At 36.2% G+C, this 27083-nt stretch overlaps 1 protein-coding gene across 32 annotated transcripts in view; it reads left to right on the forward strand.

Moving 5' to 3' along the window:
* Window positions 1–27083, forward strand: part of SRSF11 (serine and arginine rich splicing factor 11) — a 47357-nt gene that overhangs the window by 17488 nt on the left and 2786 nt on the right. For 13 of the 32 annotated variants that reach the window (XM_047434523.1, XM_047434524.1, NM_004768.5 and 10 more), the window contains 9 exons: window positions 5239–5372; window positions 9085–9194; window positions 11513–11605; window positions 12318–12367; window positions 14242–14369; window positions 16256–16337; window positions 21501–21632; window positions 23635–23724; window positions 26769–26864. In XM_047434523.1, coding sequence (XP_047290479.1) covers window positions 5239–5372; window positions 9085–9194; window positions 11513–11605; window positions 12318–12367; window positions 14242–14369; window positions 16256–16337; window positions 21501–21632; window positions 23635–23724; window positions 26769–26864 — 915 coding nt within the window. Of the gene's footprint in view, window positions 1–5238; window positions 5373–7529; window positions 9195–11512; window positions 11606–12317; window positions 12368–14241; window positions 14370–16255; window positions 16338–21500; window positions 21633–23634; window positions 23725–23933; window positions 23967–26747; window positions 26865–27083 lie in introns of those variants that run through there. The other 19 variants (XM_047434514.1, XM_047434518.1, XM_047434516.1 and 16 more) reach the window with 7 other exon arrangements.

The following is a 27083-nucleotide window of genomic DNA, read 5'->3' on the forward strand; positions in this document are numbered from 1 at the left end:
AAATAGTGATACATTGGATGATTTTAATAGTTTTATTAGTGAGATATTTGAGGTATTCGAATTACTACAATTCTTTCCAATCCTACAAGTTAAAAATTTTGTTATGGTTGCTGACTTTTAAATGCTGTTTATTCTCTGAAGGCAGTTTTATGATGCATTTAGAAAAAAGGTAAGAGAGATGTAGGCATTATACTGGTTCATCTTTTACCTAATGCATGACCAGTATACTAGAGGAAGTTGTGATGGACCAGAGTCTTTTTGTTTTGTAATCAAATGAATAGTTCCTTCATAACCAGGACAGCTAGTGTGTGCTTGAGAATGTCTCCCTCAACTATATGATCTGGGATATTCTGCATTAAAAGGACTCCCTTCCCAGTATTGGGAGAAAGAGAGATAAATTGACACATTTTTACTCTGACTCCTTCATTTATCTTCCCACATACAAGATCATTTTGTCTTTTAAAATGTACAAGGTTACAATAAGTTAAATGTTATTAGTGGCCTTCTACATTTGATCAGTAATGTAGATGGCTACTTTTATTTACTTGATGTTGCATTTTGTTTTTTTAACTATAAGTTTCAATACACTAATCTGACTGGCACAAGTTGCATATAGTTCCCAGTGGTCCACAGGGTTCATCATTCCAAAAATATTTATTCATAACATTGAATGGCTCAGATTACATAAAATTCTATCTGTTGTGAACAGGTCACCTGATTGTAACTATTATCTACACAGTTGGCCTTCTTCATCTCTGGGTTCCACATCCATGGATTCAGCCCACTGTGAATTGAAAATATAAGGAGAGAACGTCTGTACTGAACATGTACAGACTTTTTTCTTGTCATTCCCTAAACAGTACAGTATAGCAACTATTTACATTGTATTAGGTATTATAAGTAATCACGAGATTTAAAGTATGCAAGAGGATGTGCACAGGTAATATGCCATGATTTTATTTTTCCTCCACCTCTTCCCCCTCCCTGCATCATGTTATATAAGAGACTTGAGCATCTGTGGATTTTGTTATCTGCAGGGAGTCCTGAAACCATGGATACTGAGGGAAAACTATATGATTTCCCCCAAGAAGGCAGTGACATGCACCTGTAACTCTTTTTCCCCTAGACATATCTGTGACATGCTTAACTACTTTTATTTTTCCGATGTCACCTTAATCAGAGAAAACTTCCCAGACCACCCTATGTAAAATAAAGCACCTCTGCTGCTGCTTTATTCTCCTTAACACTACTTTTTTTCTATAGCACCTGTCACCAGTTGACAGGTTAAGTTTAACAACTTCTCTCCTGTAGAATATGAGGTGCTTTAAAATACATGTATGACTGAACCTCACCCACACCTACTGAAGCTCTTCATTTCGGTTCTGAATGCCTATTTTGGGGAAACATTTCTGGGATTATGACAGACATTTCAATGACAACCTGCTCTAGGAGGTTTCCTGCATTGTCATTGTTAAGTCCATCTATTTATTCCTTCTTTTAAACCAGAATTTCTGGCCTGTAATTTTACTGAGAAATAGAAATACTATCTTTACAATAGGTGATATTCTAACTGTCTCTACAGCATGATGGCTTTGCAGGTATTTGAAAGTTGAACCCCACATATACTCTTTGTTAAACTGTTATTTTGATTCTGGTTGTTTCTGAAATGCGTACTGGAAATGCAGCATTGTTTGAATATCTATTGTGTGTGAGTTGCTTTCTAAATGTACCTTAATCCTTACAAACCTGGAGGAAAAAAATGTTTTTGACCCTGTTTTACAAGTTCGTGAACTGAAATTTACATAGGTATTTTTTGTATGCCCAAGCCATACTGCCAATGTCAGAACTAGAACTTGAACCCAAGTTGTGACTCTCCTTTACCACTTGATCAGGAGTTTGCTGATTTAGCCAAGTAACTTGTAAGATCTTCACATGCTTTCTTTTAGTGGGATTGCCCAGCAAAGTGCTTATCAGGTGATGATCCCAGTGAAGTATGTCACAGTTATGCAGTAACTTAAGGCTGCTGTAATACGGAGATACATTGAAGTTCATTAGTAACTTTTCAGTGACCCAAAATGGATACTTTAATGGTTATATAAGTATAAATTAGTATATTAGGTAAGGGAAAGAGTTTAGTGCACCTTTAAAGAAAAAATGGTTTTAATTGATGCACCATTTTATTGTATATTTCTTTACATAGTGAGAAGGGGGCACATGAGGTCAGCAGTCAAGTTTTCAGGTTAATGTCGTCTTTGTCACACACCTCCTTTTGTGGGTTGGCGATACTTTTATTTATGAGCTCGAAATTCTCCACTTAGCACACTATTAAGGTGGAAATTGGAAGGCTGATATCAGTGGCCTAAACCTGAAGTTCTCGTACGTTAGTAGGCATGAATACCTTGTTAAGAATCTGGGCCTTCATGTAAAAAAGATTCTCTACAGACCCTTAGGTGAACAACGGAAATCTCAGGTTTTCTCTCTGTAGTCTAGAAGATTCTGAAATAGCCCTCAGAGGACACGTAAGAACTGTTAAAAACTACACCACCGCTCTTAGTTGGAGGACAGAAGTGGCATGCAGGACTCACTTTACCCTATCTTGTTCCTCATTTCTCCCTACTTTATATTAATTCTAAAGAGATACGGAGTAAAATATGTGTCGTATTTGGAAGCAGTACTTCCACAGAATTTTAGAGCACAAAAATTAATTTCAGGCATCAGTCCTCTATCTTATATTAACATATTATCTTATTAAGATAAATTTTATTAGGAGGCTGAGGCGGGTGGATCACCTGAGGTCAGGAGTTCAAGACCAGCCTGACTAACATGGTGAAACCCCATCTCTGCTAAAAATAGAAAAATTAGCCGGACGTGGTGGCGTGTGCGTGTAATCCCAGCTACTTGGGAGGCTGAGGCAGGAGAATCGCTTGAACCTGGGAGGTGGAGGTTGCGGTGAGCCGAGATCGTGCCATTGCGCTCCAGCCTGAGCAACAAGAGTGAAACTCCATCTCAAAAAAAAAAAAATTTTAATCGAAAAAATGTTAAGAATGTAATTGTGGGCCCAGATACCATCAAAAACTTGTTTTAAACCCATCTAAAGGAGGCCATTTGAAGTGGAGAGAGATGAAATTATATTTCTTATTCACAGTATTCAAATTCATATTTAATCTGTACCCTACCATCACTTAACAGGTTTTGATATAGCCAAAATAATTGGAGCATTCCTATGCCATTAATGAGTAGGAAAAAAAATATGAGTCACTTTAAGGTTGCCAAGTATAAAGAATACAATTTGAGCACGGGGGCAGTACTTTTTTTCCTAAAGAACTATTTATTAAAAATATCATATTTGGGAGTCATTTCTTTTAATAAGATAACAATAAAAAGTGTTAAAAGAATTGGTAGAGGTCAGTTTTAAGAAGTGTTAAGTGCTTGCTATTTCCCAGGGCATTGTGTTGGGTGTTAATAATATAAGATGATAGCATTAAAAGAGCTTTGTAATTTATTGATGGAAACATGGATGTCAGCAAAGAAATGTGAAGTGCCATAGCTTACTAAACCTGCTAAAGTACTTGACAGTGAGGCACACCTGCAGCCCCATCTATTGGGGAAGCTGGAGTGGGAGGCTGGGTAACATAGTAAGACCCCTCCCATTTCTTTAAGGAGAAATTGCTTAAACATTCTTTTTACTACTGCGGGTGCAACATTGTTAAATTTTATAGCAGCAGTGTTTCACATCTAAAAACCACTGTATTCTTTAAGAAACATTCAACAGTAAGCCTGTATAACAAGGTGGCTTAACTTGCTTGTGGATATCCTGTTAATTTTGCTTTGAACTTGGGTTAGGGTCTGTGTTTAGCCTGAGAGGTCCTTGTAGGGAAGCTTGTATCAGAAGTTCTAATGGGTTTGAGTTCTCAGGCCATATATAGCATCATGTTAGTGTTTGAGTTGTGATAAAAATTATGGGGTTTTTTGTTAGGCCTAAATTAAAAGAAATTATTTTTCTTTTCAACAATGAATCTGAAATTCTTAGTATAACCAAATCTGATGCATTTACAATTTTATGTACACATTGGTGTGTTTCATTTTTTAGAAACTGTGAAGCCTCATTCAGATAGTATTAAAATACAGGATTTTCCTTTTCATTAATGAGTCCTATGATGTAAGTGTTATATTGATGTTAAAATGAAGTAGTTTTGTACCCTGGGTGCATAAAATTGTCAGAGAGAATTAAAGGAGAAAGAACTCAAACTTCATCAGAGATCTTGATTTAATTCATGTGAAGAGTGTGGATTACCCCCAACCCCCAACCCCATGACTCTAATACACATTAGAGTGTATTAACTAGGGATGGTGTGTTTATTTCTGCCTTAGGGCACTAGCTTTCCAAATAACTTTTGGTATGGGCTTGAGCCATCCCTGTATTCATGCACAGAGTTTCAAGGCAGAAATTTGAGCTACCCTGTAACTTAACAGTTGAAAAAAACCCTGCTTCCTGTGTTATCTGTCTTACTTACACTGCCATAGCTTGCAGTTTAGCACTTGTCTTTCTTTTACCTAAGGAAGTAATTTGTTGAGGGAACTAGCCCTTTTGCTTATTGAAACTTTGCAGGGTGGCACTAGTGGAACGTAGTACTACTCCCATGTGTGCCTACATTTTTTCTTTTATCTGAAAGTGCTCCAAGCCAGAAATCCTTGATTATTTACAGTGCATAAGAGTTCTTACATGCTGTGGGTAAAAGAGTGCAGGGCATGGAACCTGTTTATTTTATGCAGTTCAAGAAAACTCATTGATTATTGAGTACATGTTCGTTCTCATGATATTCATTTGTCCCTGATATAAAAATTGTTCATCTTTCTTACTCTGAGAAAGCCATTAGGAAGTTTCTAAGCCCCAAACTACTGTTACCTGTATCTAAAAATAGCTGGTATTGGTATTATAAAGAAACTGTTGACAATTTTGTGGTCCCCTCAGTCTCTGAGACTTCAGTACCAAATTGTTTTTAACCTGATACACTGTAAATATAAGTTATGATTATAAGTTTTTATCTGAACTGCAATTCACTACATTATTTCAGTGAACAGTATATGATTGAGAATGTTTTCTTTTGAATTTAACTACATTAGTATACAGTTAGGTTTTTTTAATCTGTTTTACTTTTGAAATGTGTTGGTTTGTGAATTAGCATTTGTTTTAACTGCTATTCTGTTTCTCTTTTATGTTATTTGTTTATTTTTTAGTGATTCGCCTTTGCCAGTCTCATCTCGTGTCTGCTTTGTTAAGTTCCATGATCCAGACTCAGCAGTTGTGGCACAGCATCTGACAAACACTGTATTCGTTGACAGAGCTTTGATAGTCGTACCATATGCAGAAGGTTTGTGCTTTGTTTAACTACCTATGTGGGCATCCTAAGATGACCATCTACCTCAGTAGATGTAGAGTGAGCATTAGTAGCATGTTAAATCTAAGCTATTAACATTTTTAAACCCTTGTTATACTGCAGTCCGTAATTTTTGCTTGCAGATTTTTTTTAATTCTAAAAATTAGAAATTAGGTCTGTTATTATAAGGTATTTACCTTTTGTTTTCTTTTAAAACATTTTTAAGTTGTTTAAAACCATGTCCCTTATTGTAACTCCCTGAGATACATCTACTTAGTTAATTTAATGTTAAGTTTTATGAAAAAGCCCTGAAGGTAAATGATTCACTCCATGTATGCTTACAGAGCCTTCAAATAAATGCATGATGTTATTTCTGTTTTAAATAAATGAGTAGGTTGATTTTATTTTCTTAAAGCTTCCTCACATTGATAATCTGGAAAAAAAAAAAACACATTGAATTTCAGTATACCAAGGGTTGCAGTGATTTTGGTTTTCGTGAAAGTTCAAGATTTCCTGTAGCTTAGGTGCCAAATGGGCACTGGGTGTTTTATTTTATGCCAGATTTTCTTGTTCATTCTTGCTATATTTCTAGAATATCTCTAAATAATAAATTCTTCTCTCTGTTATTTGTGTGTGTGATTTTTATAGTGGAGAAGGCAAATGCAAAACCCTTCCAGATGCCTGAAAAACAGTGGGTCCTCTGCAGCTACAGGGGATTCTAGACATTAACTAAAGGCCAGCAAGCACTCAAGTGCCCCAAGTGTTTTCCTGGTGTAACCATTTGTTAACTACATTTTCTCTCTTTTTACATTTTAGGCTGTTAAAGTAATTTGACAGAAAAAAATGAGCAGGTTTTTTGGATCTAAAAAGCCACTGTGACAAGAAATTTTAATACCATTTTGTAAAATTTTCTAAGGCGTATTTTATAATTAGTTTGTTCCCAATGTACTGCTACTTGATTTGCATTTTGGTAACTATAAATTTTACTCGAATCACTGAAATATGATAAAACTGCTGGATTTTAAGTTAATAATTTAATATGCTGACCAGGATTTAAATGCTTTCCCCTTTCCTTAATAAACTGGTCAGTGGAAGTGGAATCTTAATATTGTTCATTTTAGATGCTATCTGAAATCTTTGAAAACAAATGTGAGCATTTACACCATACCTTGTAAAAGTTGTGAAATGTCTAGTCCTTAACAGAGAAGTTGCCTCTGGTTTTCTAAAGAAATTAACTTATATTTATAAATGGGTTAAGACATGTTATGTAATAGTACCTCTGTCTCCATGATATTAAAGTGTATGAGCCCAGTTTTAAGGTTTTGTAATGTATAGATAGATAAATTTTTGAGTTAGTGTGTTTTGGTTAAGCAATTTCTTTTATGTCAGTGTGCCTGTTGTAGGATAAGACCATCAACAGAAAATTTACAGAATTCAAATTCAGGATGAATAAAATAGAGTATAGGTCTTGGAACAAGGGTCAAATCATGTGAGTAATATGTAAAACATTTTGGTTAGCCTGTAAATTTAAATTTTTTATTGGCTAAGTATTATAGTTCCCAATCCCTGAACATAATACAGTATATCATATAAATGACTTTCATAAATATTTTCAGGCCATAGTAATTTTTCTAGACCTATTTTTGGAAGTGAAGTATTTAGGAATATACAGTATATAGAATTAGGGGAATATTTCATTCAGAATTCTATTGTTGGTGAATTTAATTCTGGTATGATATGCTGTATTAATGTTACCTCCAGTAAATACAATTCCCTCCAGATTTAGCTATTACACTTCGGTGTTAGCTCTTGGTCAGTGTTTTAGAACAGTAGACATAGTCTACGGTAAGGAATAGTCTTAATTGGTAAAACTAAGATAGCTGAATTTGGAAGGAACTCTTAATAGTAATGGATTTGGGGATTTTTTAGGTTCCTTGGTTAATGTTTGTTTCTTTTGTCTGTTTCTTTTTCTTTCATTTCTACACATTCATGCAGTATTTCATGGTTCTATCAAAGCAGCAGTAAAAAAAATACTCTTGACGCATGAAAATTAACTGGTGAGGGGCCTCATTGCTATTTTTAAATTGTAGTTTTATTTTTAAATAGTCTTTTTTTAATCAGAGGATCAGATGCATGACTTTTTTTTTTTTAATGGATGCAGATCTTCTATCAGGTGTCTCACAATAAATTCAAGAGGATTTTAGTTTGCCAGAAATGTTGCAAATGCACTAATTTGAGTAAGATGTTGATACTGAATATATCCTCTTGAGACATAATTTTGCATGCAAAATTATCCCATAATCTTTGTAGGTTTGTTAATATTGATGCATTACTGCCCTATATCTAAATGATCTTCTCCCCCTTCCCCTCCATAACTCTTGGTATCTAAATTGATGACAGCTCTGACACAAGCAAGATAACAGTGCTGTGTAGTATACATTTGTTTATATTATCGGCACTTCTCAGTATAGGTGGAAGGAACCATTACCTTTATTTAACAGTGGTTTTTCTTTTTTGTTGTTGTGTTTTACAGTTCTTTTCCCTGGTTCAGCCTGAACTATATACCAGGCCCTGCTGAAAATACCACCCAACAGTTTTCTTCTGCAGCTTATCCAGTTTCTCTTAAGTGCCCTGTACATATTGTATGTTTTATGATGAGATGCAGTTTCTTAATATGTATTACAGAAATACTACTGGTATTTGCAAATATGTAGTTTAATTGTATTATTGAACTCTCATTTTGGGGGCTTGGGCACATTAACAGATTAATCCATCTGTATAGGGCTTTTGCTGTTGGATAGAATTTAAATTGTCTACATAAATATTTGTTTTAGGACCCTTAGATTTTATCTGAATACACAGATTAGGCTTTAAAAACAGATATATATGTCATTTTTGGCTTAAGGAGTTTGGCTAAGTTAGCTTTTCAACTGGCACTGTATGGCAGCATTTTTTGGTATGGTTAGCATGGCACATGGCGAAACATAAAGCATTTTACTGTACAGGTAAGGAATGTGCCATGTTGTTTTACCTATCTCTCTTTCTCTCTCACTCCCATGCACACATCCTGTGTGTATTCAGAGACCTTCAGAAACATTCATATTCATTTTCATGAGTCAGCAAAAGCCCTACGCTTGATTCCAACAGAATATTTCCTTTACATACTTTCTTCTCTTAATTTTTACAAAATTTGTATGGTAGGTGTAAAAGAAAATCATAGTAACTGTACCATATTATTAACCCCTAAATCAAACTTTTTTTGTCTTGTGTATCTTGATTTTTCTGTGTGCTTTATAGTGAAGCAGCCGACACGAGTCGTTGTTCATAAAACAGCTTTTGAAAGTTGAGAGCACACCCCTGGAGAACCGACTGTGCTTGCTTACGTTTGGTTCATGACTTAAAAATCGAGTACAGGTGATGAAATCTTGGCAGTGTTAACAAAAAAGTAGTGTGTATTGTGCTATTTTTTTTTACTCTAGAAACTTAACCATTTGTAGAGAAAAAGGAAACAAATTTTCACACATTGAAGTTCATTCTGACATAAAATTAATGATAAATAATCATAGAAATCAAGCTTTGTATTTTAGCGAACATAAGTACTTTCAACAAACTCAGGTGGTGTATCAGGGAGACATTTTCTGGGTGTTTTTGTGTGTTTTCTGTCTTAGAAAAGAATGTGTTCTAATGCAAGGATGTTTCTCTGCAGGAGTTATTCCTGATGAAGCTAAAGCTTTGTCTCTGTTGGCACCAGCTAATGCAGTGGCAGGTCTTCTGCCTGGTGGTGGACTCCTGCCTACTCCTAACCCACTTACCCAGGTACTAGTTCTATTGAATTCTTAAAGGGTGGGGAAAAAAACAGAATTGTGCATAAAGCTAAACATATTTGAACTTTGTAAGTACTCATAAGATTCTAGTTCAGATAGCATTATCACATGTCTATATCAAAATCACAAATAGTATAGAAGATCTCTTAGACTTTTGTATTTTAAGAACATTCTGAAAAATCATAAAATATCTGTTCTGTCACTTTTACCATTGGCTCTCAAAATAACCCATGAGTAGTTTTGGAACAGTCTCCTGAGGCATGAACACTTCTCTGAACACACTGTTAAAAATATATTCATTTGGACCAGGAAAGAAAACTGAAGTTAAAATTTCACAAGTGAGCCCTTCATTTTTTTTTCCTTCCCCTTTATCTTTTCCTGTTATTTGGGGGGTTTTGAATTACATAGGTGGCTTGAAAACAAAGGCAATTCTTGATGGAGATGTTTGATATGGGAATGTGAAAGAAAATTGGTTGCAATAGTGTTTCTAACACTGACAGTGCTGTACGAAGCTTATTTTAGAACTAAAAGGCACTTTAAATACTGTGTATTCTAATTACTGAGATTGTAACTGGTCAGTAGTTTCAAAGATTGTAGTGAATGAGCCTCAACTGGAAATTTATAAAAGCATTCTTTCTAGTGTATCATTTTGCCTGTCTAAATAATTGACTAATTGACTCTTAACTGTGAAGTGCACTATAGAATGAAAGATTAGGAGTTCCTAAGCTTTTTAGGTGTGACTTTTATCACTTAACTCCTAGGTTATTTCTTTTAACCTATAAAATGAGGATCTGAGTAATTTTCTTTATTCTTTGTTCTGTTTTGTTTTGTTTTTTTTTGTTTGTTTTTTGTTTTGTTTGTTTTTGTTTTTTTGAGATGGACAGAGTCTCGCCCTGTCACCCAGGCCGGAGTGCAATAGCACAGTCTCGGCTCACCGCAGTCTCCACCTCCCTGGTTCAAGCGATTCTGCCCCAGCCTCCCGAATAGCTAGGACTACAGGCATGCCACCATGCCTGACTAATTTTTGTATTTTTAGTAGGGATGGGGTTTCACCATGTTGGCCAGGCTGGTCTTGAACTCTTGGCCTCAAGTGATCTGCCCACCTTGGCCTCCCAAAGTGCTGGGATTACAGGCGTGAGCCACCGCGCCCAGTCCAGATCTGGGTAATTTTCTAAATTCCTTTAATGTATAAAGCTATGCAATAGCTATGTTGGACAGTAAGTTAAAATAGTATTAACACAGCATTTTGCCTGTTACGAATAAACAGTTAAATTATAGAAAGTTTGATAGTTTGTGTTTACTAAATAAATTGAAACAAGGAGAACTTGTAGCACAGGTGGAGAAAGTGAGGCTGTTTCAAAAGCTACAGATGGTTTTAAAGTAGCCTCACTTTCATGGTTTGTGTCTATTACATTATGGATTAATCAGAATTGGTGTCAAGCAGGTGGCAGAACCCTGCAGTGATTTGAACAGGGAACATTTAAGGAATTACTAACTAGTTATAGGAGATTACTAGGGGAACTCTAATGAATACAGGAATCACAAGTATAAGAAACAACCACTACCTCTGAGGCTGAAGCAGAAGGAACACCCATTTAGTTCAGGGGACTCCTCTTTCCCCATCTATGCTGAAACTTAGATTTGTTTTTGGAAGGGTGACTAGTAAATAAGTTCTCTTGGGTGCCCTGGGGAGCTGCATAAGGAGTTGGTATTAAAACTTACTGAGAGGCGAGGGCTACTGGGTGTTTGACATGGTGCTGCAGGAATAATCAGAAAGGGGACACAGCAACCAGGAAGAGCCCCTTTCTTAGTCAGTGTCCTTCCAGCACTCTTTCCAAATGAAGTCTTATATCATGGCAACTGTCAAAGGAGAAATGCTTTGTAAAGGTCCTGCCTCCGGTAGCACAAAACAGCAGGGCAAAGAATAGTAGATTTGGATCCTGAGAAGCAATAAATAATTAAAATCAGCACAAGAATATGTTGAAATATTTTGTCTTTTTTTCTTAATCTAGGATTTAGGGGGGAAATGTGTTGTAATGGGTGGAACATGGGTGTCATATAGAGCAAGACTCCTATTTCTGTTAATAGATTGTTATTGGACCACAGCCATTTGTTTAGGTATCGTCTCTGGCTGCTTTCAAGCTATGATGGCAGTAGTTATATGGTTTGTGTACAACTGAGGAGTTGTACGGAGACCATGTAGCCTGAAAACTCAAGTTGTTATCTGACCCTTTACATTAAAAAAGTATTAACCCCTGGTATAAGGAACTGAAATGAAGTTTTAAATAAATAAAATTTGCCATTTCACAGATTGGCGCTGTTCCACTGGCTGCTTTGGGGGCTCCTACTCTTGATCCTGCCCTTGCTGCACTTGGGCTTCCTGGAGCAAACTTGAACTCTCAGGTATACCTTAGTAACTTCAAATTTTTCACCCATTTTTACAGAAGATCTGTTTCATTAACTGTTGGTTTGCATTTCAAGAGCAGAAGCTAATGGCTATGTTGTAGTAATTTTTTTTCTTGTTTAAACTTGTCAGAGCTTTAAACAGTCACTGAATGACTAACTCCTTTATCCATTAATGGATTTCTTTTATATAGTTCAAAATAGAAAATAGATTCACAAGAAGCCAGTACATTATCAGTGTGTCATAGAGTCAGAGTAAATAGTCATGAAAAGATAAGAATGTGGTTTATAATTTTTCTATCATGGAAATTTTTCTTTTATTTTAATTTAGCTAACCTTTTTTTCTGAAGTTCTTTGTAGAGGTCTTTTGCATTATATTGGCTAAGGTGTTTTGAGTTTTACATGTTTCTTTATGTCAAAAAGTCTTAAAGGAGACATAATTCTATAATACCTAGACTGTTCAGCCTCATAATCTTTAGATAACTTGCTAAAGCTGCTCTATCCAATACTGTAGCTACTGATGTCACCGGTTTTTGTTTTGTTTTGTTTTGTTTTTTGTTTTTGTTTTTTCTTTTTTAATGTGGCTACTAAAAAATTTATGTTTCATGGCATGTAGTCTGCATGGATTTCTGTTGTTCAGTTTTCTGCCTAGAAAATATCGGTCATTTATTGTTTTATGTATTCTCATTATTCTTATGTTTTATTTTTACAGTCTCTTGCTGCAGATCAGTTGCTGAAGCTTATGAGTACTGTTGATCCCAAGTAAGCGTTTTTTCTTTGTTTTCATTGGTGATGTGGTATCTGAATGTCTACAGAATTAGAGTTTTTTTGATAGCTTATAAGAAAGTTATCAAGTTATCTTTTCTCAAGACAAGCAATATGTATTGTTACCTAGAAACAAGGAGAGAAATACAGAAGTAAGTAAGGTCCTCTAAACTATTTTGTTTCAGTGTCATTTGAGTCTTGAATAGTAATTGTAAATGACTTATACCTGGATGATAGCAAAAGAGCTAATAAGGGACAACTTCGTTTGAAGATCAGAGGCTGAGTCCTGAGGATAGTAGGAGTTAGAGGCAAAGCTGAGGGAATCACTATCCCAGAGCAAAGTAGTATTACATATTATATAATTAATAGCCAACATTTTATTTTAGGTGCTTTTGATAAGTGCTCTTCATGCTGTCACAGAAATTGTTTCCGACTTGATGATGTGACAGATTCATCAGTTTTTTTCACTGGTTATTTGTTGGCATAATAAATTTGAACTTTATACCTTTTCCCCTTAACTTGGTGAAAGTCACTATCAGTAAGTGAGAGAGCATGAAAAGGACAGAATCGTTGGACTTCAGTAGTTAGTGGACTTTTTTCTTAGAAATTATCTAAAAATAAAACCAAGCATGTACCCATCACCCAGCTTATAAAATAAAATAATACCAATACAGTTGAAGCTTCCTATATACCCATTATTTATTACATTTCCTGTTCTGCCCACAAATAACTACTAAATTTGTTGTCTATAATTTTTTTTTCTTTCTTCTTTCTTTTTCTTTTTTTTTTTTTTTTTGAGACGAGTCTCACTCTGTTGCCCAACCTGGAGTGCAGTGGCGCAAACTCAGCTCACTGCAACCTCCGCCTCCCAGATTCAAGCAATTCTTTTGCCTTAGCCTCCCAAGTAGCTGGGACTATGGGCACAAGCCACCACATCCGGCTAATTTTTTGTACTTTTAGTAGAGACGGGGTTTCACCGTGTTAGCCAGGATGGCCTCAATCTCCTGACCTCATGATCCACCCGCCAAGGCTTCCCAAAGTGCTGGGCTTACAGGCATGAGCCACCATGCCCGGCCTACAATTTTTTTTTTACATGTGTAAACCTGTAAGGGGCATCTTTAGCCTTTCCACTCAAGACTTCATGTGTAATTTTGGTAGGCCTTTGGCCTCTGCCTCAGTTCCTCCCCACCTACAAAGTAAAAGGTAATGCTCTTCCCCAAAAAATTACTATGTCATAAATTTTTTTTTTTTTTTTTTTTTTTTTTTTTGAGACGAAATCTCACTCTGTCGCCCAGGCTGGAGTGCAGTGGCGCGATGTCTGCCTCCCGGGTTCAAGCAATTCTGCTGTCTCAGCCTCCCGAATAGCTGGGACTACAGGCGCCTGCCACCATGCCTGGCTAGTTTTTTGTATTTTGAGTAGAGATGGGATTTCACCGTGTTAGCCAGTATGATCTCGATCTCCTGACCTCGTGATCCACCTGCCTTGGCCTCCCAAGGGGCTGGGATTACAGGCGTGAGCCACCACACCGGCCCAAAAATTTTTAATTTATATGAATAAAAGTTCTTAGCATCAGCATATTTTCTTGTACTGGCATTTCTAAAAATGTGTTTGTTTATGGAAAGTTAATGGATGTTCAGCAAAATAGGTATTTTTCTAATTCCAGATGACTCTTAGTCATTAAAACAAATACTTGTAAATATTCAAAACAGTGCTATGCTATATGTTGTTTACCAAAGTTATCATGGAGTCCTCCCCTCCCTTTTTTTGAAGGAATATTTTGCTAAAATAATGTTATATACTTAAGTATTTATTTGAAATGCTCGTGTGCATTTTAAAATATTTCAGATCCCATTTCTTGGTTCTGTTTCAGGTTGAATCATGTAGCTGCTGGTCTCGTTTCACCAAGTCTGAAATCGGATACCTCTAGTAAAGAAATAGAGGAAGCTATGAAAAGAGTACGAGAAGCACAGTCCCTAATTTCTGCTGCTATAGAACCAGGTAAACAATGTTTATGCAATTTTGTTGTGTGATTCTTAGCAAAAATGATTTTGACATAAATGTGGAATTGTGTTGAGTGACACCCTAGTCGTTTAAAATGTTGTAAACTCTGATAAAAGATTGTATAGTGGAGTGCCACTCAGACGTATTTGGAGACAATTCTGGTGGTCACAGGAGTACCAACTGCATCTAGAGGGCAAAGGACCAACATGTTGCTAGATATCCTGCAACAAACAGCACAGCCTTCCACAGCAGTGGTTAATCTAGTCCAAAATGTCAGTAGGATTATCTAATACTTGAAACGATATTTTGTTTTTCTTATTATTTATGTTTTTCTAAGTTGGGATAGCCTAATTTTAATTTTTTTCATTGATCAAGAGAACCTAGTGAAAATGCTTCTGTTTAAAATGATATTTCTTTAAAGAAAATTAGTTGTCTTCTTTGCAGATTGTCTTTTTGAGAGTAAATGAATAGATATCATATTATCTGCCCATATATATTTAGATCTATGGCCCTGGATTTTCTTTCTTATAAATATCTTGTTCATTAATAAATGGGAATGTTTTTTAATGTGCCTATTGTTAGGAAAATAATTTTAAAGTATAATAGTGGATAAACTGATACCAAATGCTTTATATGTATTATGTTATTTAACCAGGAAAATGTCAAATAATTAGCCACAGTTACATGGCAAGCAGTAGGAACTTTTAGATAGCACAGCCGGGTGTATGTAAAGTTTATGACACACCGTGTTCTAACTGCTGTTTATATTGAAAATATATGATTAAAGTGACTGAATGTAGTTTCTTTATGAACTGATGTTTTTACCAATATTTTTATGAATTTATTATAATGACATTCACAATAAATTGAACCCTATTAATGAAATGACTTAAATGTAAAAGAAACTCAATCTCACTTTGATGATAGTCAGTGAATGTAGAATACAATGACTTTATTTCTCTTGTTATGTCCCCAGTTAAGGAATTTCTTATGTGTAGTTCTAGATTTCCTTTCTATATTTACACAATTGAAAATTGGTAGGGAAGAGGAGTGATGAGCAGATAATAGGAAGCGAGCTAGCTTACTAAAATCTGATTCTGTCACAGAAGTGGACTAAAATCAGTGAGTGAATCATGACTTTCTGCATTTGGGGGCCAAATATTGAGTCTGTGAAGAATCAAGGAAAGGAAAGGGGACCCCTCATTTAGAACCTTGTCAAGAGTAAATCAGAGCCAGAGAATGAGAAATTTACCCTCTTTATAGACTGCTTTACAGAAAACACTTCACAGCCTCTTAAGTCTGGCAAGTAAAATAGGCAAAGGAACCTTTAGCTAGCTGAGAATTAGAAGTCTAATTTGGATCTACCAAAAGCTTGGATGATTTGCAATTTATAGTATTTCAGTAAGCTTCAAAATCGTGATTATAAAATGGTTACTTGTGACATTCAAGGGTTGTATGTAAAAGCTGAAAACTAAGGTGAAAAATTATTAGAATAACTTCTGAAAGGGAATAATCTTCCTATTTGATGTGTTTTTTTGTTTGCTTGTTTTTGTTTTTGAGGGGTCTCACTCTGTTGCCGAGGCTGGAGTGCAGTGGTGCAATCACAGCTCACTGCACCGTCCATCTCCAGGCTCAAGCAATCCTCCCAGCTCAGCCTCCCCAAGTACCTGGGACCACAGGCACACACCGCCATGCCCAGCTAATTTTTGTATTTTTTGTAGAGATGAGGCCTCACTATATTGCCCAGGCTGGTCTTGAACTCCTGGACTGAAGTGTTGCTCCCACTTCAGCCTCTCATAGTGCTGTGATTACAGGCATGAGCCACTGCGTCTGGCCCCTATTTAATAACTTCTAAATGCAGGTTCCTTTTCTTTTAAATATAGATAAGAAAGAAGAAAAAAGAAGGCATTCAAGATCAAGATCACGTTCTAGGAGGAGGAGGACTCCCTCATCTTCTAGACACAGGTTAGATTGCTTTTTAGTCAATTATACCTTAGACAAAGATAATTTATATATGTCACATCTTTTTTAATTTGCTGTTAATCTGTTATCCTCTGGTTAAAGTGTTTTAGTAACCTCTGCTGTTAGAATGTGTGAATGACTGTTCACACATGTAAAAAGTAAGAAAAGCGACAGACGAAATAGATGATTTATGCTTTAAAACCCCCAAAAATTCAGAGGTGGTAGGAAAGCATTGGAACTAGAGCAACAAAATGAAAAATAATTGATTCATTGAATTATACAAGTTTCCAAATACTGACTTGTATTTGTTATCTAGTGTCAAAAAGTGACATCTGGTAATATCACCTTAGATCAGATCAGTAAAATGCAAGTACTAGGAATCTGGCATGCTCACAACAATGGAGTCATTTTCCAAAATTTAATTTTCTCAGATTTTTATCATTGGCAACAGATTCATCTATTTTCCTTATATAATAGACTTCATTTATTTTTCAAAAAATTGTCTGCCAAATACCCAAGTCTAATTAATCATAGTTTCTAGATTCTCAAAGGTGATAATGAAAAAGCAGTTAGTTCAGCTCATAACTCAACACAGGTGTCTTCCTTAATACAGCCATTATACTTCATAAGCATCAGAAGTGATTTATGCATACTTTCCATTTCATCACACAGAATATTACTCAAGAGACTAGATTTAATTCTGCTACTATATTAATAGTACTGAAGGGGGATTTAATAAAATTAACTTTACTGCTTCATCAAAGACATCTTTATAAAAGTGGCATTATTTTTTTCTTTTACTGCAAGTGCATACAGAAATGCCAGTGAAGAAGATAGTGAGTGACTCCTAGGGCAGTTCAATAGCCCCTACCTTGATTTGTGTTGAAGAGTCAGTATTTTTACCCACTATGGCTTTTGTGACATTGGTGCAAACGTCAACACAGTGGAAAAGGCAATAATTTGTTATTACTTTGAAAATAATTTTGACCTTATGGACCCCATAAAAGGGTCTTAGAGCATCCACAGTTGTGCAAACGACAATATAAAAGCCATTGCTCTAGGTTATTCACCAACTATTTCAGCCATTCTTCGATTTTCTTAATTTCCAAACTCAATCCTAATTGGCCTAGTTGCATCCTAGTTCTTCTAGTCAGAACCCTTTAGGATTGACATTCAGAACTAGGATATTCCAGTTGTGGTTATTTACTTCAGCCAGTTTCAGCTTCACTTTACATACCCCTCCATCACTGGACTTTTTTTTTTTTTTTTTTTTTTGAGACGGAGTCTCACTCTTGTTGCCCAGCCTGGAGTGCAATGGCACGATCTTGGCTCACCACAACTTCCGCCTCCTGAGTTCAAGCAATTCTGCCTCAGCCTCCCGAATAGCTGGGATTACAGGTGTGTGCCACCATGCCTGGCTGATTTTGTATTTTTAGTAGAGACTGGGTTTTTCCATGTTGGTCAGGCTCATCTCAAACCCGCGACCTCAGGTGATCCACCCACCTTGGCCTCCCAAAGTGCTGGGATTACAGGTGTGAGCCACCATGCCCGGCCATTCACCACTTGACTCTTAAACCTTCACTCCTGGCTTCATCTCTTCTGGAACCTAGTTCTGTCAGTTGTCTGCCTTTTCTTAGTGTCCGTTACCCCTTAGTTTTTACCAAGGGTTAGATAAAACCATTTCTCCTATTTATTGTCAGGATTTTTGAAAGAGCAGTGTGACTTGAATCCTAGACTTTGTCACGTCTCTATTAAAAGCACTTATATCATAAAATATCTAAAAAGTCACATTTCTGTCTCAGAGATGATCTTTTCACTCTGTTTTTATCTTTTAATATCATTTTCTTATTTTAAGTCATTTCTTGAAGTATTACAGGGGTTATCCTGTATGCTATGTCTGTTTATTCCCTGTCACCCACCTTATCCCACTGTCTTATTCTTAGAGTTGTCTTTCAGAAACCCAAATACAGATCATGTCACAGATACTGAGAAGTTCCTTATTGCCTTGATAAGGTGATACATAAAACCTTAGAATGGCTTTCAGGGTTCTTTACTATTCCGTCTGGTTTATCTTTTTACACGTGTCATTTGCCACTCCAAAAGTTACAGGACTAATTGCCTCAACATACCATTTTCTTTATGTCTTCATGTTTCTGCTCATGATCCTTTCTGCCTAATGCTTTTCCACATCTTCCATTTCCGCTTTGAGGAACTCCTTTTTCTTTCTTCAAGATACAATGCTTGCAGTCTTAATCTTCCATGACAGTGCTCTCATAGTTTAGTTTAACCTCTGCAATAGGATATACCTCATGATTACTACAATTTATATGTGTTTCCTTTTACCAAACTCTTAGGAAAAAGGAGAGCCTGGGCCGGGTGGGGTGGCTCACGCCTGTAGTCCCAGCACTTGGGGAGGCCGAGGCGGAGGATCACAAGGTCAGGAGATTGAGACCAGCCTGGCCAACATAGTGAAACCCCGTCTCTCCTAAAAACACAAAAATCAGCTGGGTGTGGTGGCGCGCGCAGCTGTAATCCCAGCTACTCAGGAGGCTGAAGCAGGAGAATCGCTTGAACCCCGGAGGCGGGGATTGCAGTGAGCCAGGATGGCGCCACTGCACTCCAGCTTGGTGACAGCGAGACTCCGTCTTAAAAAAAAAAAAAAAAGGGAGAGCCTGTGTCTTTTTCTTTATATTAAATCTTACTGGGACTCTCTCATTTTAATATTAATTACTTTACTATGACCAGTGAAAAGTAGAAGTGAAATATGTCCCTGAATCCAGATACTTGTAATACATCGTAACAGAAATCATTGTTGTGGGTTGTGGTAACCCTCACCACACACACACACCCCCCACACCCCACACCCCCACCAGGCTCAAGCCATCCTCCCACCTCAGCCTCCTGAGCAGCTGGGACTACAGGCATGCACCACCACACCTGGCTAATTTTTGCACCTTTTTTTTTTATGTAGAGACAGGGTTTTGCCATGTTGCCCAGGCTGGTCTCGAACTCCTGAGCTCGAGCTGTTTGCCCACCTCGGCCTCCCAAAGTGCTGGGGTGACAGATACAAGCCACTGAGTCCAGCCCAGTTGTAGTATCAAGCATCACATAGTGTGTTAAATGACCATGACTTTCACAAGCTTTTTGACTTTATTAAAAATATGTTACACTAATCTCTTTTGCTGGTTAAAAGCTCATATGAACTAGTAAGTGTAGAAAAGTGACGGTAGTACATTCCCCTTTGAAAACAACTGTTTAATCTCTTAAGGTTATGATTCTGATATTTTATATGCCTATATTTCATTCAAAGTATATTATTGGTGCCTTTTATTTAAATCAGGCAGTGTAGTAATTGCTCAAGAATACAGTCATGAAAAGACTTACTTCCCATGTCTTTGTGGAGCCTATGGTAGGGTAGTTAAGTAGATAAAAACATCTTAGGATGTGGAGATGTTATTGCAAGGAATTGTTTAGTAAATAGTTTCAAATATGGCTGAAAATAAGAGATTAAAATTAAAGTTAATTGAGTTCAATAACTCAAATAGTTTATTGAGGCATTACTATGGGTTTTGAGGCAGTTGTTTTAGGGAGTTATGGCAACAGAAGCTATATTAGTACATCAGTAAGAGGAAAGAAGGACATCAATATTTAATGTACAGTCCCCTCCGTATATGCAGGGGATTGGTTACAAATCCATCTATACCAGAATCCATGCATACTCAAGTCCTCTGGAATCCACATATAGGAAAACTCAGTCCTGACTATACATGGGTTCCTCATCCTTCAAATACTGTTTTTAATCCACATTTGGTTGGTGGCAAAAAAAAAAAAAAAAAAAAAAAAAAAAAAAAAAAAACACAGTGTGTAGGTGGAACCATGCCGTTAAAGCTCATGTTATTCAAGGGTCACTTGTGTGTGCCTACACTAAGGCACCGAGCTAGACTCTATATACTGCATTTAATCTTTGTCATTATTTGGTGATAGAGGTGTTACTATCCTTGACTGCTGAAGTAACAAGGTCAGAGAGGTTAGATAATACTCTTAAGTTACCTGGCTTATAAATGAGAGTTTAACACAAGTCTTTAAGATGTCCATACTCTTTCTTGTACCTTGAAAAGAAAAGTAGGCAGAAAATTTAGACTATATTTGAAATGTTGCACAGAGAGAAGTTGAATGGTCACTAAAAGTTAAGTGATCAAGACTAAGCAAAGGATTGCAACTTATTTTTAATTTTTAAAATAGAAGAGAATGGGCCGGTTGTGGTGGTTAATGCCTATAATCCCAACTCTGGGAGGCCAAGGTGGGCTGGTGGCTTGAGCCCAGGAGTTCAAGACCATCCTGGGCAACATGGCAAAACCCCATCGCTTAAAAGATAGAGGAGAATGAGTTTTAATGCAGTAGGGAGGATGACAACATCTAAAGGTTAATTGTGCTTCTTAGTCCTGGAAGAGCCAGGTCAGGACACAATGGATGGGGGCTCGGTGCAGGGAGTAGAGAAACAGATATGTCAGGGAAAAATGAGAGTAAAAGAGGCAGTTTATACAAATTGTATATATCTGTAAAAGGTCTGCATTGCCTGGAGTTTCCTAAATTGTGGATTAAAGGAGTGGAATTTGTTTCAGAGAAAAATTCGAAATAGGAGATGGCAACACAATAAGTAGTTTCTCTTTATAAAATAGAAATAATAGTGGCATTTACTTTATGGACTTACGAGACCAATTTGTAGTTTATATATAGCGTGATATAAGTATTTGATTTATGATGAGGAAGGTTTAAGCTGCACTAATGAGGAATCAAATAAGAAATACATGCTAAAATGCTATATAATTGTATAAGATGATGCAAATAAGTCATACTTTTATTCTCCTTCATGATCTAGTAGTATTTTTAACCTTGGAGTTGTAAGTACAGTGGGCATAGAAGGACCTATCTGACAGGTTGAGCAAATCATTAAAAGGTGAGGAATTCCAAGTGTTAAAAGGTATTACTAATTTCTAAGGTGTTGAAGGTGTTTGTTCTATGGGCTAAATAATAGCAAATGGAAGGGAATTATCCCCCATTTAATTGTTTAGTCCATATGTCCGAATCTTTTGTCTGATACTAAGCACAAAATTTATAGTCTTTTTACATTTATACACATGTATTGGCTTCCTTTTACACTATTAGGCGGTCAAGAAGCAGATCGAGACGGCGGTCACATTCTAAGTCTAGGAGTCGGCGACGATCCAAAAGCCCAAGGCGGAGAAGATCTCATTCCAGAGAAAGAGGTAGAAGGTCAAGGAGCACATCAAAAACAAGGTATAGCATTGGGTGAGAAAGCAAATTTTAGGGTTCCCAGTACCCCTAGTACTGTGCTACTTAGTAACAAAAGAGGTGGTTGGGGTGCGGGGCAGAGAAATAGGGCTAGACAGGGGAAGAAACTGTCAATATTTGAGTTTGAGGAGGCTGACGTTTGCTTTCTGGTGCTTCCTTGTAAACTGAAACTTCAGCTTACAGCTGAGGGCCTAAGTAAAATTTCTTAGTAGTAGGAATTGTTAGCTGTCCTGCTACCTTCTTTCATAAGAAATACCGTAACGTTTTATTTCCATCTAAAAATATATTCAAAAACCAGTCTTTTCGTGTAGAACCAAACACTTTTAAATTAGTATGCCCCCAGTCATTTATAGTTGTGAGGCATACAATTTCACAGCACTTAATTTTTTTAGCAACTGCTTTTTATCTCTTGCTAAAATATTTATCTTAATTTTCTAGAAGCAACTCTATATTTGGCATTATTTTGTTCATTTATATATTTAGTTAAATCATGTCATTAAAGTAAGTACAGCTGGGGACACAACATAACTTACTCTTGGGAAGCATAAAACTCAACTGATGAGAACAGAAGAGTGGGGGTAGCTTTACTATCATTGTTAAACCTGTAATAATGGGGCTTTTAGTCCTTATGTGCTGCAGAGTGAATCAAACAAGGTAGATTAATAGAACAGTTATACAAAGGAATTAAGCATTTCTTTAAGGACTTTCTGATTACTAGGAGAAGAGTGATGGATTTAATTACAGGGGAGGAACTGTTAAATGATGATTGCTACTTGCTGATATTGGAAGAGGTTTGAGAATGACTCGAGTATTAAATTCTGAAAGATTTGACTAGACTCAACGGGAGGCATGCTTTCAGGTGGAGAATGGTGTTTCTTGAAATAACAATATTTTGATGTAGTTGGACTAGAAAATGAGGTCAGAAAAATATAATGAGACCGATCGTGGAAGGCTTTGTTGTTCACACTATGCACTTGATCCAGGAGGCAACTGGAATGAGTTGAAAATGGTGAACAGGGAATTAATATTTTCAGGTTTGTACTTTAAAAGATTTCTGACAGAGTACAGAATCAGTTTATGGAAGGCATGACTGGGACCTACTAGGGGACTGTTCTAGTAATCTAGGAGTTAGATGATAAAGATTCAAATGAAGAGGGAACCAATGATAAAGATTGAATGAAGAGGGAACCGAGGATGACCAGAGAAGGGAAAAAAATGAAATTGAGAATGCAGAATGGAAAGATTAGCTTAGAACAGTAAGAGAGGGATACTTTGATTCTTAAAATTAGAGAATAGTTAAAGAGGGGGGTTGTTATGAGACTTCTCATTCAACAAATATATATCGTTTATCTACTCTTTGCTTAGAGTCTTGGGGAGAATGATGATCTTGGGGAAAAAATATTGTGAGGAGTAAAAATTTATAGGAATCTGTAAAAAAAAAAAATTGAGTTACGGCTGTAGTCAAAATCTGTTGATATTTTCTAATAAGCCCTGAATAGTTCATAATAGCCGCAGAAAAAGAAGCTTGCTTGATCCATGATAGAGGTTGACATGGGATGTGTGTCTTGGAAGAATATTCATGATATTGATGGATTTTGGTAGTGCTCTATGGGTTTTGGCCTGATAGGAGAGGTGGGTTGGGAAAGTGGTAATCAGCTGAGAGAAAAAGGAGTCTTGAGGAGCCTAGAGATAGTTAACTTATTGGTGTTTACCAAGTATATTTCAAGCCAACATCCTAGTTATTTTCTCACCCATAGTCTACTTTAGTCTACTTGGGAGAAAACCTAGGATAATAGGATTTTAAAAGAAGTTATTGTACTTCAAATATGCCACATAAAGTATTATTTTTAAAACAGTTTCTGTCAGAACAACATTTATGCTTTTAAGGATGGGATTAGATCTGATTATATTTTTGTGTTTGTAGTGCTATATAAATTGGCATCAGCTGAGTCTTCTAATGCATTCATAAATTGTGTTCATTTGTTAGAGACAAAAAGAAAGAAGACAAAGAAAAGAAACGTTCTAAAACACCACCAAAAAGTTACAGCACAGCCAGACGTTCTAGAAGTGCAAGCAGGTAAGGTGGCATTGTGAATTCTTGGCAATTATTTTTTTAACTTTGCTTCTAACAGTATCAGTACGCTGTCAGTATGAAGTCTTTTCCAGAACATAAGTATTTCAGTGTTGAAAAAAGTTACATTTTGCTGTTATTTAAAGTTTTTAAAAGGCAATTTGTGAAGAATAATGTAGTTTATTTTTCTTTTTACTTAATATTTTATGGTCTAGAGTATATTTGAAGTAACATGGAATTCAAGAGAGGTGAGTTTTTCTCTTTATAGTTTAAGTTTTAATGGCTAAACCATACTGAATTGTTCCATTAAGTAAGCTTATTATAGTAAGCTATATTTATCATCTGCATGTTAGTACTTGAGAATTTTTCTATCCCTTTTAATGACTGTTGAATTAATGGGAAGCAATGCAGGTTCTGGTTTGTGTCATTCTTAGACTAATTCTATCTTTAAGCTGTCAGTGAAAATTGAAATGTTGCAGACCTTACTGCACAAAAAGCACATTTTCATACTTAATTTGGGATTTATATGATAGTAAGGGCTGGACTTCATTCCATTTTTCAGATCTCATTCACATGTTTTGCTGCAGTGCTTGTTTTATTCATCAACATTACTTAAATTCACTAGGAGAAGGTTCATGCCATATAAAAAAAAATAACTGAAATGTATAAAAGACCTAAATGTAAGAGCCAAAACTATAAAACCTTTAGAAAGAAACAAAAGTGAATCTTTAAGACCATGAGCTTGGTGGTTTCCTAGATATGACTTCAAAAGCATAAGCAACAGAAGAAAAGAAAATTTTGGAATTCACCAAAAGTTAAAACATTTGTATTTCAAAGGATACTATCAAGAAAGTAAAAACCTAGAGTGCTAGTTAGAAAATTCTTTATATATTCTCTATTAAGAACTCTTAGAACTCAGCAATAGACAGGCAACCCAATTTAAAAATGGCAAAGAATCTGTAGCCATTACTCCAAAGGAGATATGCAAATATCTAGTAAGTACATAAAATCTGTTCAACATCATTAGTCACCAAGGAAATACAAACCAGACCACAGTGAGATATGTCACAGTCACTAGGATGGTTATAAATCAAAAAGACAGATGATAGCTGAGCCTGACAGATGATAGTAAGTGTTGATTAGGATGTGGAGAAATTAGAACCCTGTGCATTGCTAGTATGAATATAAACTGGTACAGGTGTTTTAGAAAACAGTCTGGCATTTCCTAAAAATGTTAAACATAGAGGTTTTTGACCCACCAGTTGTACCCCTGGGGGAAAATGAAAACATTTTCACAGAAAAACTTTTATGTGAATGTTTGTGGCATTATTTCATAATAGCCAAAAAGTTAACTATCCATTAACAAATGGATAAACAGAATGGTATATCTATACAATTGAATATTTTTCAGTGATAAATAAGGTTGATACATGCTACAGTATGGATGAAACTTGCAAACATCCATGAAAGGCCGTGTATTGCGTGATTCCTTTTATATGAAATGCCCAGAATAGGCAAATCTATAAAGATACCAAGTAGATTACTGATTGCTGGGGAGATAGGGAGGATTAGAGTGATAACTAAAGGGTAGGGAGTTTTTGGGGTGGTGAAAATTTTCTTAAAAACTAAATTTTTAAGCATGAAAATGAAACCAAATGTAAGTACAGAAGGAAATGCTGAATCAGGCCTGAGGGATAGGTGGCAAAGAGATAGAAAAGATGGAAGGTACTACATATATTTTCTTACCTTAAAAACTGTTGAGGATTTTTTTTTTTACCTGTTGCTTTATATAATGTACTTGTAAGTGCCTTCTCATGCTGTATTATTGGATCACTCTAAATTAAGGCATCTTCTGTGAGTTATTAAATACCCACTGTGTTTGTAGTTGTGCTACAGTCTGTTGAAGGACACGGAAATGTAATATAAAATACTTCTTCCGTCTAGAGAATTTGGAGTTTCAGTTACATAAGACAGTAGCAAAAAGTATAAGGTGCACAGTCGTGACAATGTTTGATAAGTGAATGCTCAGTTATGTGTAACGTTTCCAGGACAAGGGTCACAGAGGGCTGTGTAAGTAGAAAAAAAGCTTCATTTGGAAATTAGACAACTAAGTACAGGGTTTTTTAAGTCTGATAACTTTTGAGAATCAGGAACAGAATTTTTTTTTTTAAGTTACAGTAAAAAGGAGGGGAAGGCTGTATATCAGCTGTATATCTTCAAAGTAATTGGTGAAAGCAGGGTTTTGGGGGACTGCAGGAGGGCGATTTTGCTAGAGTATAAGGTTTCTACCTTTCCACTAACTAGTTCTCTGAATTTCATCTAATGATTTAAAGGTGAATGTGGGGATATTTTATTAGTAACTACCTTCTATATCACATTATTGAATTATTCTGTACTTACTCTGAACACTGAATGTTTGAACCAAAAACTAACTTCTTCAGTAATAGTTTACTTCACACGTCACCCCTCTCGCATTAGTTTTGTTAAATCAGTTTTTTCTCAAGCTTAGTATTTCTAACATTTTGTCATCAATTAAAAGAATTACTAGAAATTAGGAGTTTTCTTGAGGGTAGTAAAGGGAAAGATTCATGGTTTGCAGATGATTATATTACTCATTTAATTGTTTAGCTTATACCAGTATTGTGAAACAATCTTTCATTTTTCTGTTTTTTTGAGACAGGGTCTCTCTCTGTTGCCCAGGCTGGAGTGCAGTGGCCCTATCACAACTCACTCCAGCTTCAACCTCCGCAGGCTCAAGTGATCTTCCTGCCTCTGCCTCCTGAGTAGCTGGGACTACAGGCATGCACCACCACACCTGGCTAATTTTTTTGTATTTTTTGTAGAGACAGAGTTTCACCATGTTGCCCAGGCTGGTCTGGAACTCCTGGGCTCAAGCAATCCCCTCACCTCAGCCTGCCAAAGTGCTGGGATTATAGGCATGAGCCACTACATCTGGCCACATCTTTCATTGTTAGAATCATCTATGATGTGTCTGCATTTTTAAGATCACACTGTATTTTAAAACCTAGTTTGCACATTTGTGATTCTAGAGAGAGACGACGACGAAGAAGCAGGAGTGGCACAAGATCTCCTAAAAAGCCTCGGTCTCCTAAAAGAAAATTGTCCCGCTCACCATCCCCTAGGAGGTAAGAATGTTAATCATTTAAATGTATTTTTTATATTTTTCAGAGGTTTTTCATTTTAAAACTGTCCTGTAGTTTTTCTTTTCAGCAGTTACAGTTCTTAAGAATGTTTTAATGTATTCTCCTTCTGACTTGTGACTTAAACACCATTAAGGACTGAACATTTTAGTCCTATAAACAAGTTAGTTTTGTAGCCTGTGTTACTTCTCCAAGGTTTTGAAG

The sequence above is a fragment of the Homo sapiens genome, chromosome 1 (assembly GCF_000001405.40).
Source record: "Homo sapiens chromosome 1, GRCh38.p14 Primary Assembly".
Taxonomy (NCBI): domain Eukaryota; kingdom Metazoa; phylum Chordata; class Mammalia; order Primates; family Hominidae; genus Homo; species Homo sapiens.